The sequence below is a fragment of the Homo sapiens genome, chromosome 5 (assembly GCF_000001405.40).
Source record: "Homo sapiens chromosome 5, GRCh38.p14 Primary Assembly".
Taxonomy (NCBI): domain Eukaryota; kingdom Metazoa; phylum Chordata; class Mammalia; order Primates; family Hominidae; genus Homo; species Homo sapiens.
Genome location: NC_000005.10, coordinates 95066418 through 95079418, shown reverse-complemented (window position 1 = coordinate 95079418; position 13001 = coordinate 95066418). Strand labels below are relative to the sequence as shown.

The following is a 13001-nucleotide window of genomic DNA, read 5'->3' as shown; positions in this document are numbered from 1 at the left end:
AATCAACACTTCTTTGTAATATCAGAGAAAACCTCTAGTTTTGGAGGTGACAATGAAGCCCTTGTCTTCTTTTGATTTTGTTTTTCTATCTACAGAGTTTGGAAACACTGTAATGCTAGATGACAGTCCCATACTTCCCATAGGTGCTTAGTATATGTTAGTGATCCTGTGAACATTAAGGTAGATGAAGCATTTTGAACTCACCAGGAGAGTCTGTTGTTATAAGTGCTGAGATTTGTAATGCTTATCCCCCCTGAGATAAACCCAAGTAGGAAAGCTATGGAGATGGTTTGTTGGGTTTTAATTCCATCTTAATTTAGTTGAGATACTCAAATTAGTCATTTAGTCTCCCTTTGCTTGAGTCATTTCACTAGTGGGATAGGATTAGTAGTATTTATTCGCGGCAATTTACAGCATACTGAAATATAACAAATCAAGTTCCAAATCTCACTCTACAGGGATTTCTCTCCAAGATGAAAATAATAATAATGCCTAGCATTTAAATCAGACTGTATAATAACTATTTATGAACTATCTGTTTTTCTTACAGCAACTTTATTAGGTATGGGTTCTATTATTATTATTATTATTTCCTTTTTATGATGGAGACACTGAAGTACAAGGAAATTAAATGAGTTATTCCTGACATCACACAATTAGTAGTAGAATGACCAGAATTGAACCTAGGTAGGCTGCAGAACCAAGATGCTTAATTACATTCTGTGCCACCTTCTGTTAGAATCCTTTGGTCTTAGTAATTTGAAATGACTGCTATAAAGTACTACAGAGAGGAAAATACGTCTTTTTAATGTTACTACATTTAATCATTTTAATGACTGCAACATTCTTATTCTTAGTGAAACCCAGGCCTTTATGAACCAGAAATATGCTGAAGTTGTTCGTGAATTTACATAAGATGGGGGCTTTTATTAACGCAAAATATGTCTGGAATGAGCATACATAACTGAGAGCTCTCCTAGGTGATCATAGTCTTTGGTGATACAACAAGATTTCCCTTTTTTGTTGTTGTTTTTGATGTGCAGGTGGGGCAGAAACAATTTTCAGTCTATATTTAGTTATCTGATACAGTCCCAGGAAAGCTTTAGGGAATTTTGTGTTTTGATAGAAGATTAATGTAATGTCTGCCTTTTTTCTGTTCATTCCCTAAACATTTCCTGGTGAAAGTCATCATTTGGGAAGGAGCACATTGAACGAATTGTAGAATGGAGAAGTTTAGGTCTGTTATACAACTAGGTCCATTTTGATTTGCTTTCCCCAGAGACTCCACAAATTATCTTTGAAATTCTTGGGTAACTTTCAAACCTTCATGTTTCCTCGGGTCTTGCAAACAAGATGGATGGATGGATGGATGGATGGATGGATGGATAGATGGATGATAGGGATAAATGAAGGTGTTCCCATATCTGTTGAGTCATGACTCATGTACCTGACACTGGATTGGGACCAGACTAGAGAATGTGGGCCCAGAGGAATGATGTATGAGATGTGAAAGAGTTTTCCTAAATTCATCTCATATTTTCTTGTCTGATAGTTTTCAATGTGGAATGAACATAGCTATAAGCCATTTCTTGCCACAAGCCTTTCCTCCTATTTCATGTTAGTTTTTAAAATTATATATAACGAACTGGCCAGGCGCAGTGGCTCACGCCTGTAATCCCAGCACTTTGGGAGGCCGAGGTGGGCGGATCACGAGGTCAGGAGATCGAGACCATCTTGGCTAACACAGTGAAAACCTGTCTCTACTAAAAATACAAACAATTAGCTGGGCGTGGTGGCGAGCGCCTGTAGTCCCAGCTACTCGGCAGGCTGAGGCAGGAGAATGGCGTGAACCCAGGAAGTGGAGCTTGCAGTGAGCCGAGATTGCGCCACTGCACTCCAGCCTGGGCGACAGAGTGGGACTCCGTCTCAAAAAAAAAAAAAGTATATATAATGAACCATAATTGCTTACTTCCTTGATTCAAAAGCTAAATGTGTGCAGATATATACATATATATTTACACACATTATTCATATGCAGAGAAAAAAAGAGACAGATAGAGGTGGGATAAAATTAAAAGGTCAAAATAAATTTGAACACCTAAATTAATGAGAATTGTTAAACTTTGACTATTTTATAATTTATTATGAAGAAAATAACCAAGATGCAGAAGAAACAGTCATGGCAGAATATCAAAAAAGAAAGGTACTCTTAAGATCATTTTTAAATGCTTGTTTACAAAAGTATATAGCATCTCTTTTCATTTTGGAATGGGAGCTTTCTTCCCCACAATATTTCATTAGAGAACTCAAACTAAGAGTCTGGGAATCAAAATTTATTTGGCACAATTAGTCAATTGTGAGTGATCATTTCCAAAATAAGGAAGGTGACTAAAGGCTTGAGTTAGGAAATTCTGCAAGTTTCAGAGATGGTATTAAGATGTTATTGTTTCAAGTTTACAAGGCGGGGAGGGAATACAGAAAATATTTTCCTGTAAAAATACTTGATCAAGCACAACTAAATAGGGTGAAAAGTTTTAAACAATGGAAACAACTGTACTGGGGTAATTACACATTTGGCTTTGACCCAAAGGAGTCATTAAAAACAAAAAGAAAAAAGAAAAAAACCAATTATCGTATAGATTTTTCCCCCACCCCTAAACAAAATAGCATATTTTCACGGTTTGAGGACATTCTATTCCTTTATGTACAGATGCGTTGTGTTATTTGAAATACATTTGATTTCTGTGGCTCACTGTTTTCTGGTGGTGATTTCCCTCGCTTAGAAATAGCGTGTTCTAAGTCAGCAATCAGTGGACAGCATTACCCTGGCCCACTGGAAACCTTAACTCCATGTAACTGCAGTCTGAGACTCAGTTTCAACATTCGTCAATGAAGGACTCGTTCTCATATTTCCCAGCAGTCTTTGAACTATTTTAAGATAGGGATTCCTTTTTTTTTTTTTTTTTCCTTTTTCAGCTTAATGGTTCCTGTGAATCTTGAAATCAATTCTGAAACAATTACTTCTAAGTTTAATCCACCTGGAAAATTTTCACTAAGCTCATACCTGGAGTTTGAAAAATGCTATGCTTAATGTAAACAAATGAATGTTCATGGCAAATGTGTACAGTAGTCATTACCCCTTTATCTACAGTTTTGCTTTTCAAGGTTTCAGTTACCCATGGTACTGTATGATATTTTGAGAGACAGAGAGAGAGGCCACATTCATATAACTTTTATCATAATATATCATTATAATTTTCTATTTTATTATTGTTACTGTTATCTCTTACTGTGCCTAATTGATAAGTTAAACTTTATCATAGGTATATATGTATAGAAAAAAATAGCATATATAGGGTTCAGTACAATCCACTGTTTCAGGCGTCCACTGGGGGTGTTCTAACATATTTCCTGAGGACAAGGGGACTACTGTACTTTAAATGTGTAAATAGCTGCAAAGAATCATTAATACACCAGACAGAGGAAGTCTCTGTAGCCTTATTACTGGTTTTAAATTATTGAAAAATAACACAGCATATGAATATTCAAGAGTTTTTGAAAGCTATATAACAATTCCACAAGTATCCAGATTACCACTAGGAAGCCACTGATAATGGGAATAGTCACTTCTGAGAGAAAGTGTTAAGAAAGTTATTGTTTCAAGTTTTCTAAGGGGTAGAAACAAAGATAAAACTTTTACGTAAAATTATCTGATCAAATATAACTAAATAAGGTAAAAATATACACAAGTTTTAGACCACATGGCAGGAGCTTTAAAACAAAGAGCAGCGTCTCCATCTAGGTGTTTTTTTATATATCAGACATTAATTTTTTTTCAGAAATTAAGGACTGAAAACTATATTTGCTGCATTAAAATATTCTTCCCATTATATTCTGACCTCTTCCTCATTGTATCTATTATTTTTGCAAGTTTTCGTGAGAGATTATTTTTACATTTTACAATTTTAATTGAAGTTTTATAAACCAAAATTAAGGAGAAGGTTAACTAAAAACCAAACATCACTTTGATAAGTTAACTAAAAACCAAACATCATTATAGAGAGAATAAAAGGGGAAGTTAACTTATATTTATAGGCTCAGAGAAGTCCTCTGTGAGAAAGTGACTTTTAAGCTGAGACCAAGGATATGTAGAGTTACTTTTGGTTTCCCTGCTGTTTGAAAGTTTGTGAGGATTAGAGAAAATGTATGTAAAGTACCCATTTGATTTTAAAAGTTCAGTTCAATGAGTCAAAGCAGTTCAAAGTGTTGTACCAGCTGTAAAATGTCCATGATCTCTTTCTTTACCTGAATAGTGTATAATTCATATTTACAAAATGTTGATAGTACAAGGTGCCTTAGAGATCAACTAGCTCAACCCTCTCATTTTGCAAATAAAAAATATTCTGCCACAGGCAAATTAAATGACTTTTCCAAAATTATACAGCCAGCTCCCGACAGAGCCAAGCTGGGCATGGGGTTGCTGTCATGTACCTCTGCAATCTTTTTACAACATCAGTCAACAGGATCATCCCTATCTGAATTTAGTATTTAAATTCTGCATTCAATTTTCCTGCTTATTAAAATGTTAATTGTGCACAGCATAAATCAATTTAAGCTTGACCTAATTTCCTTGTGGCCACGAAACATTTTTTTGAGCCATATTTTTTGGAAGGACATATTTTACGCCCTACGTAGAACCATAGATTCTACCTAGAAGCTTTTCCGCATACCTGAAAGTCTGCCTTCATTTTTATTCACTTGGCACTGCACATATACTTGTAATCACACAGATAGGTCCACATTTAACCACTTGTGCACACCTAAGATTGGTTATACTTCACCCGCTCCAACTTTCCAGATCCTAAAAATAAATGCGTGTTCAAACTTCATAAATACAAATTATTGTATTAGCAAAAATGTATACACCTATCCAAATCATTTAGCAAAACAAATGACAATTGATTACTAAACAATACTCTATAACTATTAATTATACCTTTGTCATCAAAGTAGTAATGCCCTAGGAGTTGCCAGCCATCTCTCTTAGTGGCCCCTCCAGAAGTTGGGTGGCCACACCCAAGCAACAGCACTTCAAAGTGCTCAGTCCTCTACACCTTCAAGTGGATGGTGCTAAGGGGCTTGGCCTTCACCTTACGGGATAGTGACTCTTCAACTGCATGGTATAGCAGATTCACCAGGGAATCTTGCTCAAACTACATGTACCCAGGCCTACGCCTGAGAGATTCTGAATCATTAGGTCATGGGTAGAGCCCAAGAGTGTAATTTTTTTTCTTTTTTTTCTTGAGACGGAGTCTCACTCTGTCGCCCAGGCTGGAGTGCAGTGGCACCATCTCTGCTCACTGCAACCTCCACCTCCCAGGTTCAAGCGATTCTTCTGCCTCAGCCTCCTGAGTAGCTGGGATTATAGGCACCCGCCACCACGCCCGGCCAAATTTTTTTTTGTATTTTCAGTAGAGACGGGGTTTCACTATGTTGGCCAGCCTGGTCTTGAACTCCTGACCTCGTGATTCACCCGCCTCGGCCTCCCAAAGTGCTGGGATTACAGGCATGAGCAAGAGTATAAATTTTAAGAAAAGCCCAGGTAATTCTAACACACACTCCAAGTTAAGAAAACCTGGGGCACCAAGAATGCTTCAAGGAGAGGGTCTGATGATGCCAACAACCAGGGTATCAACCAGGAAACACTGAAGGGAGGCACCTGAGCTCCTGTGTGTTCCATATTCCTGCCCTTCCCTCTCAACTTTACCTTTTTGTAGCATATCCAGTGTGCTCCCACCTCCTAGCACTGTCATCTTCTTCCATATCTTGGGGAAACCTTTTGAGTATGGGCATAACCACTTGGAAAGATATAGGTGAACAACAGATCTTTGTAGGTGAACTCACAGAACACCCTATGCTGGGAGTCTAGTCAGGGTGCAGTCAGTTACTTCCCCACTCCATACTCAGTAAGGTTGAGGAGATGGTGGGGGACAGTGTCGAGGGAGAGCAGTCACAAAATGCAGCAATGAATGGGTACCCTTAGTCTTAAGCCAAAGGATCCTAGCCAAGCCTCAGCAGCAAAGAGAAGTTGAGCCATGAGTCTGGATGAGAGAAATCTAATGAGGTGAGGAAGCTGAGATTCTGCTAACCAAAGGATAGCTTTGGCAAGTGCCACAATGTGGACGCCGTCTCTCCTATGCCCAAGACTGACAAAAAATTAAGACTAACTCCCTAAAAAAGAGAACAATCAGCTGTTCAGGATAGCTGGGCTGCTGAAAGAAGGCCTTGCAAGCTTCATTGTGACCATGGGCTAGTGTGATGAGCTGTAACAAGGAGCAAAGTGGACCATGTGGCACAGGGCTTGAGAAAGAGGTCCTCCATATCTCCAGTGAAAATAGTTGCTAAGCGCACTTTGGGAGGCCAAGGCGAACGGATCACGAGGTCAGGAGATCGAGACCATCCTGGCTAACACGGTGAAACCTCATCTCTACTAAAAATACAAAAAATTAGCCAGGTATGGTGGCCGGCACCTGTAGTCCCAGCTAATCGGGAGGCTGAGGCAGGAGAAAGGCGTGAACCCGGGAGGCAGAGCTTGCAGTGAGCCGAGATCTCGCCATTGCACTCCAGCCTGGGCGACAGAGCGAGACTCCATCTCAAAAAAAAAAAAAAAAAAAAAAATAGTTGCTAAGCAGAGTCCAAATTTGGAGCTAGAACAGTTGAGGTTGAATCTAGCTCCAAACATATATTGTGACTTTGAGAATATTATTTGACATCTATGGGCTTTAGTTTCCTCCTCCTAACATGAGAATGAAAACATCTTCTTTGGAGCTAGTAACCATAGGTCTAGATGCAGAGTATAATATTGGCCCCTTTGTGCTGCAATATTTTCACATGATCAATGCACAAGCCTTTTTCACATGATCATAATTCAAGCCAACACTAGTGTAATGTCTGTAGAGCCATCAATTCATGTGAGACAGTCTTTGGCAAAAATTGAAAAAGCTTGTACTATGTAGGGTGAATGTTACAAGTAGAGTGATTTATTGGAGTCTTTACAAGCTCTTGTTTGCTCTTGTTTATATTCCCCCAGCCTTATGTAATTTGTTTTGTTTAGTGTTTATCCAATTAGGGTTAAGAGGGTAGGACTTACTGTACTCCAGAACCAACAGAATGCTTCTTGATCCTGATTTTACTGGAATACAGGAGCAGCTTGTCAAACTCTCTGGATAGGAGGTGGGGTACATTGGTTCTTCCAGAACCAAAGCCAAATATGCTTTAGCATCAATTTGCCAACAAACCTCCAATCACACACACACACACACACACACACACACACAGGAAAATTGGCATTGTTTCATATTAGAATCTGAGAAATCTAATAGTTAAGAAACCTGTACATCACAGCTAAACTTGTTTACTCTAAAGGAAAATTTATTTTTCTCATGGATCTATTAAAATTCCTCTAGATGGACTTTTACATGTATATATTTCTACCTGTTGTTTACTTGGAAGCCTAGCAGAGAAGTAAAATATATCACTCACCTCTAGCATATGATTGCCAGATTTTAACAAAAATCTAGTCAGTGGTAAGTTGTATTTAAGACAATCTCATTCATGTGAGTATGAGTGCCATTCTGGTTCTTAGATACATTAGTCTGTGCAGTGGCCACAGTTTCACAGAGTGAAACTTTCAATCTACAACATCTCTATGTTTACATGCAATACACTGGTTATTTCACTGCATTTCCCCACTTGCATTCAGGGATACAGAAATATTTTTAAGAGCTTGTGCCCCCAGAAACTATGGAGGAGAAATGGACACAATGTTTGTTAACAAATCATCATGAATATCACTCATATCAAATTATAAGCTATACTGAGGGACATCAGTAAAAGTAGAATATTATATAGAGAATAAAAGGGGAAGTTAACTTATATTTATAGGCTCAGAGAAGTCCTCTGTGAGAAAGTGACTTTTAAGCTGAGACCAAGGATATGTAGAGTTACTTTTTGTTTCCCCGCTGTTTGAAAGTTTGTGAGGATTAGAGAAAATGTATGTAAAGTACCCAGCACAGCATCTGGCAGCACCAAAATTCTCCAGAAGATTCTGATCCAGCCTGTCTCCTAATCAGTGACTACGAAGCCAGCGGGTACCTCAGACAGACGCTCTTGGGCTGCACGTGCTGCCTCAGGCTCCGGATCTGGTGTCATAGGTATGCCCAGGTTAGCTGAGGATCCCTGTGGCTACAGCCTTCCTGGTTAGCCTTCACAGTTAGCCTTCACAAGTATGCTCTGTATGTGAATTGCTGCTCAGATGTGCTTTGTTCAACATTTCTCTCCAGGGATGAACACCCTTCCTCTCGCTTCCCCTTTGTTCCAGTCCATTTGGCTTGGCTCTGATTTCCTGCCTCCTCATCTTGGGAACAGGTTCATCCCATGGTACCCTAATCCCACGGAACTTCCCTTGAACCAATACATTGCCACCTCCCCACTGAGAGATGCCAGACTCTTCTCCCAACTCTCCCAACCACCTTAACCAAGTCAGCCCCTCCCACATAGTCCCTAGTTAAGATCAGAATGAGCTTTATCTGCTTCTTAAACTTTGTTGTTCCTACCTCTGCAATCCCTCTTAGGCTATGGAACTACTGCGGGATGAATTCACCAAGCCGCAGCTGGGACTGCCTTTGTACTCCTCTCTCTAGACAGTCTGCCCCAGTCTCACACATGGCCAAAGTCTGGTAGGTAGTTGCTGAGTTCCTGAGTGTTGCTCTCTGGGCCAAGGCAGTACAGGGCAACTTCCCAAGGCAGAGCAGACAGGAGTAGTGCTTGGATTTGGATCAGACCACACTGGGCTTTGCTGAGAGGAACTGGGCCAGCATACAGAATGGTTTTTAATGGACTGGGTTTGAAACAGTTCTCAGAGTGTTGAGAGCAATTATGAAGGAATCAGAGTGGCTGTGGAAGCTGAGAGGTTTGGAGGTCCCTAAAGGTATCCCCCAATCTGTACTGCAGAATTGGAACCCCGTTGACAAGAAGAGAACTAGAGGAGGCTGGAGCAGGTGTTGCACTCAAGTGCAAGGTGTTGCACTCAGCAGTGCTGAGGCTGCAGAAAGCAGGGACACTGCCAGCAGCAACACTGCAGCTCCTGCTCCTTCCTCAGAGGGTGAGAGGCAAGCTGGGCTCAGGGTAGCCTGACTGCAGATGTGGCCTGGGACTTTGGCCTAGTAGGCCTTCCATGGACCTGGTGCTGATAGATGGGTAAGGAGAGAACCTAGATAACAACACAACAGAGTGCCTTGACAAGGGCGGGAAAATTCCAGACTCCACCACAAACAGGAAGATAGTTCTTCCCCTATTGTGGTTTCTAAAGTTTGTAATTTCCAAGCTGCTGGCAGCACTTACAGAAAGGGAGGGTCGGCCGGGCACGATGGCTCTCGCTTGTAATCCCAGCACTTTGGGAGGCTGAGGTGGGTGGATCACAAGGTCAGGAGATCAAGACCATCCTGGCTAACACGGTGAAACCCCATCTCTACTAAAAATAAAAATAAAAAAAATAGCCGGGCGTGGTAGTGGGTGCCTGTAGTCCCAGCTACTCAGGAGGCTGAGGCAGGAGAATAGCTTGAACCCGGGAGGCAGAGCTTGCAGTGAGCAGAGATTGCACCACTGCACTCCAGCCTGGGCGACAAAGCAAGACTTTGTCTCAAAAAAAAAAAAAAAAGGGCAGAAGGGTCATTTGTTTTTGTGTCTGAAGCACCCCAACTTGACATCCCTGTGAGCCTAAGGACAAGGAGCTCAAAGAAGAGTGTGCTCTGAGAACGGGTGCCTTCGTTATACTTGTATGCTTTCTATTTTCACACACATACATAGACAAGCATATCAGATTCTGCACCCTTGCGGGTAAGTCACCTGGCCTGTGTCATCAAAATGTAGCATATTTCTGTACACTGTATGTTATTCTGAAAAAAAAAAAAAATGCTATGCTCCCAAAGGCTGGGTTGACAAAGGAAAGGTGCTTGTAAGCAGTTACTTTATTATGTTTGAATTACTTTATTATGTTTGATACAATAAACTTGGCTTCTGTCATGAAAGACCCCAATGAAAACTGTCATCTGCAAAGTTAGGAGTACGTACAAATGTTTATGCTATGTAGATAGTTTATGGTCAATTTCACTCATCACTGTTTCCACTCCCTGACTTACCAATAATTTGACAGTCCTTGCAGCTGCATTGTAACTCACCATCACCCCACCCTTTGTTTCTGAGCAGTCATAGTGGGTGAGGAGAAAAATAGGGCACATTTGAGAGAAAATATGTGGCTCTACAAAAGACAAGCACATTTCTTTGGCTGTCATAATTAGCTATAAAAATTAAGATTGAGAACATCTGTTTTAATTACGTATGTAGCACAGGCTGTTCTGTTGTTTCACAGCTTCTCTCAGGAAAGGAAAAAAAAAAAAAAAAAGATACCTGCTCACAATCTTCCCCTGGAACTAAGCCTAATTCGCTTTTAGCTATAAAAAACTACTATTGATATTAAATAATGTCCCTAGGTACAATATTACGTAAAATTTTTATAATTTCTTTGGCAGACCCTGTATGGTAAGATTGGAAAGGACAGACTAAATGCAGTAAACGTAAGTTTCAAAGTGGAAATGACTGACAAAGTGTGTTAGCTCGGTGTTTAATTAGGCATAAAAGCTTTATTTTTTGACCGAATTGTGAAAACCATAGTAATGCAAACCGACATGGAGAAAGCTACTGGGAACAGCAAAGGAAATGGAAGTGAACTAAGTAGAAAACAGATCCCGGCCAATCAGGTCCTTGACAGCTTAAAACATTTACTGTTCCCCAAGTGTCCCAGAGTGTTAGACACTATAGAAAATTAACCCATAAAGCTGCAAGGTATCTTCACATCTGTCATCTGCCTCTGAGGAAGTTGACGTATTAGACTAGACTGTCCCTGGGTTTTGGTTTTGTTTTGTTTTCATTTCCTTTTTAAAAATAATTGTGATCAGATTCCTATGTTTACTGTCTGTTGGAATTAAGTATTTTACCCTTCTATTAACATATCTTCATACCCCACCAACTCTGACTCTCTTTCTCTGTCTCCTCTCTTCTCTCTGTCTCTCTCTTTCTCCTCTGTGAATCAAATCTATTTTCTCTCATTGGATATTTCTTAGAGAAAACCCTACCCAAGACATTATCTTGCCCTTGAGAAATTTGGAGTCAAATGTGTCTTGGTTCATTTTCTATTCTTGCTGAATAAAGTATTAATTTTAACTTGATTTAAATAGGATAATGATAAATTTAATAGAATAGAATAATTGCCTCTCTTTCTTTATCAAAAAAGAACGACCTTGTTGAAAGATCAAGTTAATTTAATGATTTATATTTCAAATTTAGTTTAAGAAATAGATTGTTTGACAGAGAGTGGAAAAGTGGTTACCAGAGACTGAGAGGAGGGTGCCAGAGGGATGGGGAAAGGGTCGATGTTGATGAAAAGTACAAATTTTCAGTTAGGAGGAATAAGTTGTAGTGATCTATTGCACTGCATAGTGACATTAATAATAATGTATTGTATATTTCCAAATTGTCAAAGGAATAAATTTTTAATATTCTCACCACAAAAAAGATAGGTTAGTGAGGTGATGGAAAGCTTAGTTTGACTGAATCTTTCCACAGTGTATATGTAGATCAAAACATCACTGTGTATCCCATAAATACATACAATTATTATTCATCAATTAAACTAATTTTAAAAACATTGAAGTATGTCCTAACAAAATATATATTTAAAATATTTAAAAATATAAGTATATTTTGTAGGTTAATAGTAAATGTATCTTAGTTTATTTCTGTTTAGAAATTGTATTTTTCTATTTATTCTTTTAATATATTAGTTGTAAATCCCTTTGGATTTTCTATAGAGACAATCTATGAATAATGCCAATTTTTTCATTTCTAAATCATTTATTTTCATGTTGTATTTTATTTTTGACACATAATCATTACACACATTTACGTGATAGAATGTGAGGTTTCAATACATGTATGCATTGTGTAATGATCAAATCAGGGTAATTAGCTAATGCATAACCCCAAATATTTGTCACTTCTTTGTGGTGAGAACATTCAAAATCCCCTCCTTTCGATATTTTGAAATATATGATACATTATTGTTAATTATACTCACCCTGCTGTGCAATAGAATTCCAGAAGTTATTCCAGCTGTGTATAACTTTGTATCCATTAACCAGCCTCTTCCGATCCCCCCACTCCCACCCCTCCCCAGCATCTGGTAACCACTATTCTCCTCTCTACTTCAAGAGTCCCCCATCCCAGGCCTTGGATTGGTACCGGTCCATGGTCTCTCAGGAACGGGGCAGCACAGCAAGAGGTGAATGGTCAGTGAGAGAGAATTACCCCTAAGCTCCGCCTCCTGTCAGATCAACAGCGGCCGTAGATTCTCATAGAAGTGCGAACCCTATTGTGAACTGCGCATGTGAGGGATCTAGATCGCACATTATTTACGAGCATCTAATGCCTGATGATCTGAGGTGGAACAGTTTCATTTCAAAACCATCCCCGCTCCGCCCCCGGTCCCCACTGCACTTTCTATGGGATCAACTTTTTAGATTCCACACATAAGTGAGATCATGCAATATTTGTTTTTCTGTGTCTGACTTATTTTACTTAATATAATGCCCTCCAGGTTTGTCCATCTTGTCACAAATGACAGGATTTCATTCTTTTTTATAACTGAAAAGTATTCCATTATGTATGTATATATATTAAATTTTCTTTATAAGTTTATCTGTTGACGGACACTTAGGTTGATTTCATGTCTTGGCGATTGTAAATAGTACTGCAATAAACAGATATCCCTTTGACACACTGATTTCATTTCCTTTGGATATATACCCAGTAGTGAGATTGCTGGATCATATAATAGTTCTGTTTTTAATTTTTTGAGGAACCTCTGTACTGTTTTCTCTAATGGC

General features: G+C 39.2%; 1 protein-coding gene across 55 annotated transcripts in view, besides 1 other annotated feature; it reads left to right on the top strand.

Annotated features, from left to right (window-relative positions):
- The window catches only part of MCTP1 (multiple C2 and transmembrane domain containing 1), a 581405-nt gene that overhangs the window by 205676 nt on the left and 362728 nt on the right, over positions 1–13001 (top strand). For 5 of the 55 annotated variants that reach the window (NM_001393541.1, XM_047417734.1, XM_047417727.1 and 2 more), the window contains exon 2: positions 10590–10634. The exons of the other annotated variants lie outside the window; for them this stretch is intronic. In NM_001393541.1, the coding sequence (NP_001380470.1) occupies positions 10590–10634 (45 nt within the window). The remainder of the gene's footprint in view (positions 1–10589; positions 10635–13001) is intronic. 55 annotated transcript variants of the gene reach the window in all.
- Positions 9161–9210: an enhancer, noted in NCBI's record as "active region_22796". NCBI's record gives its function as "activates an Ori minimal core promoter by ATAC-STARR-seq in GM12878 lymphoblastoid cells {active_cell/tissue: GM12878}" and the evidence as "EXISTENCE:reporter gene assay evidence [ECO:0000049][PMID:35858748]".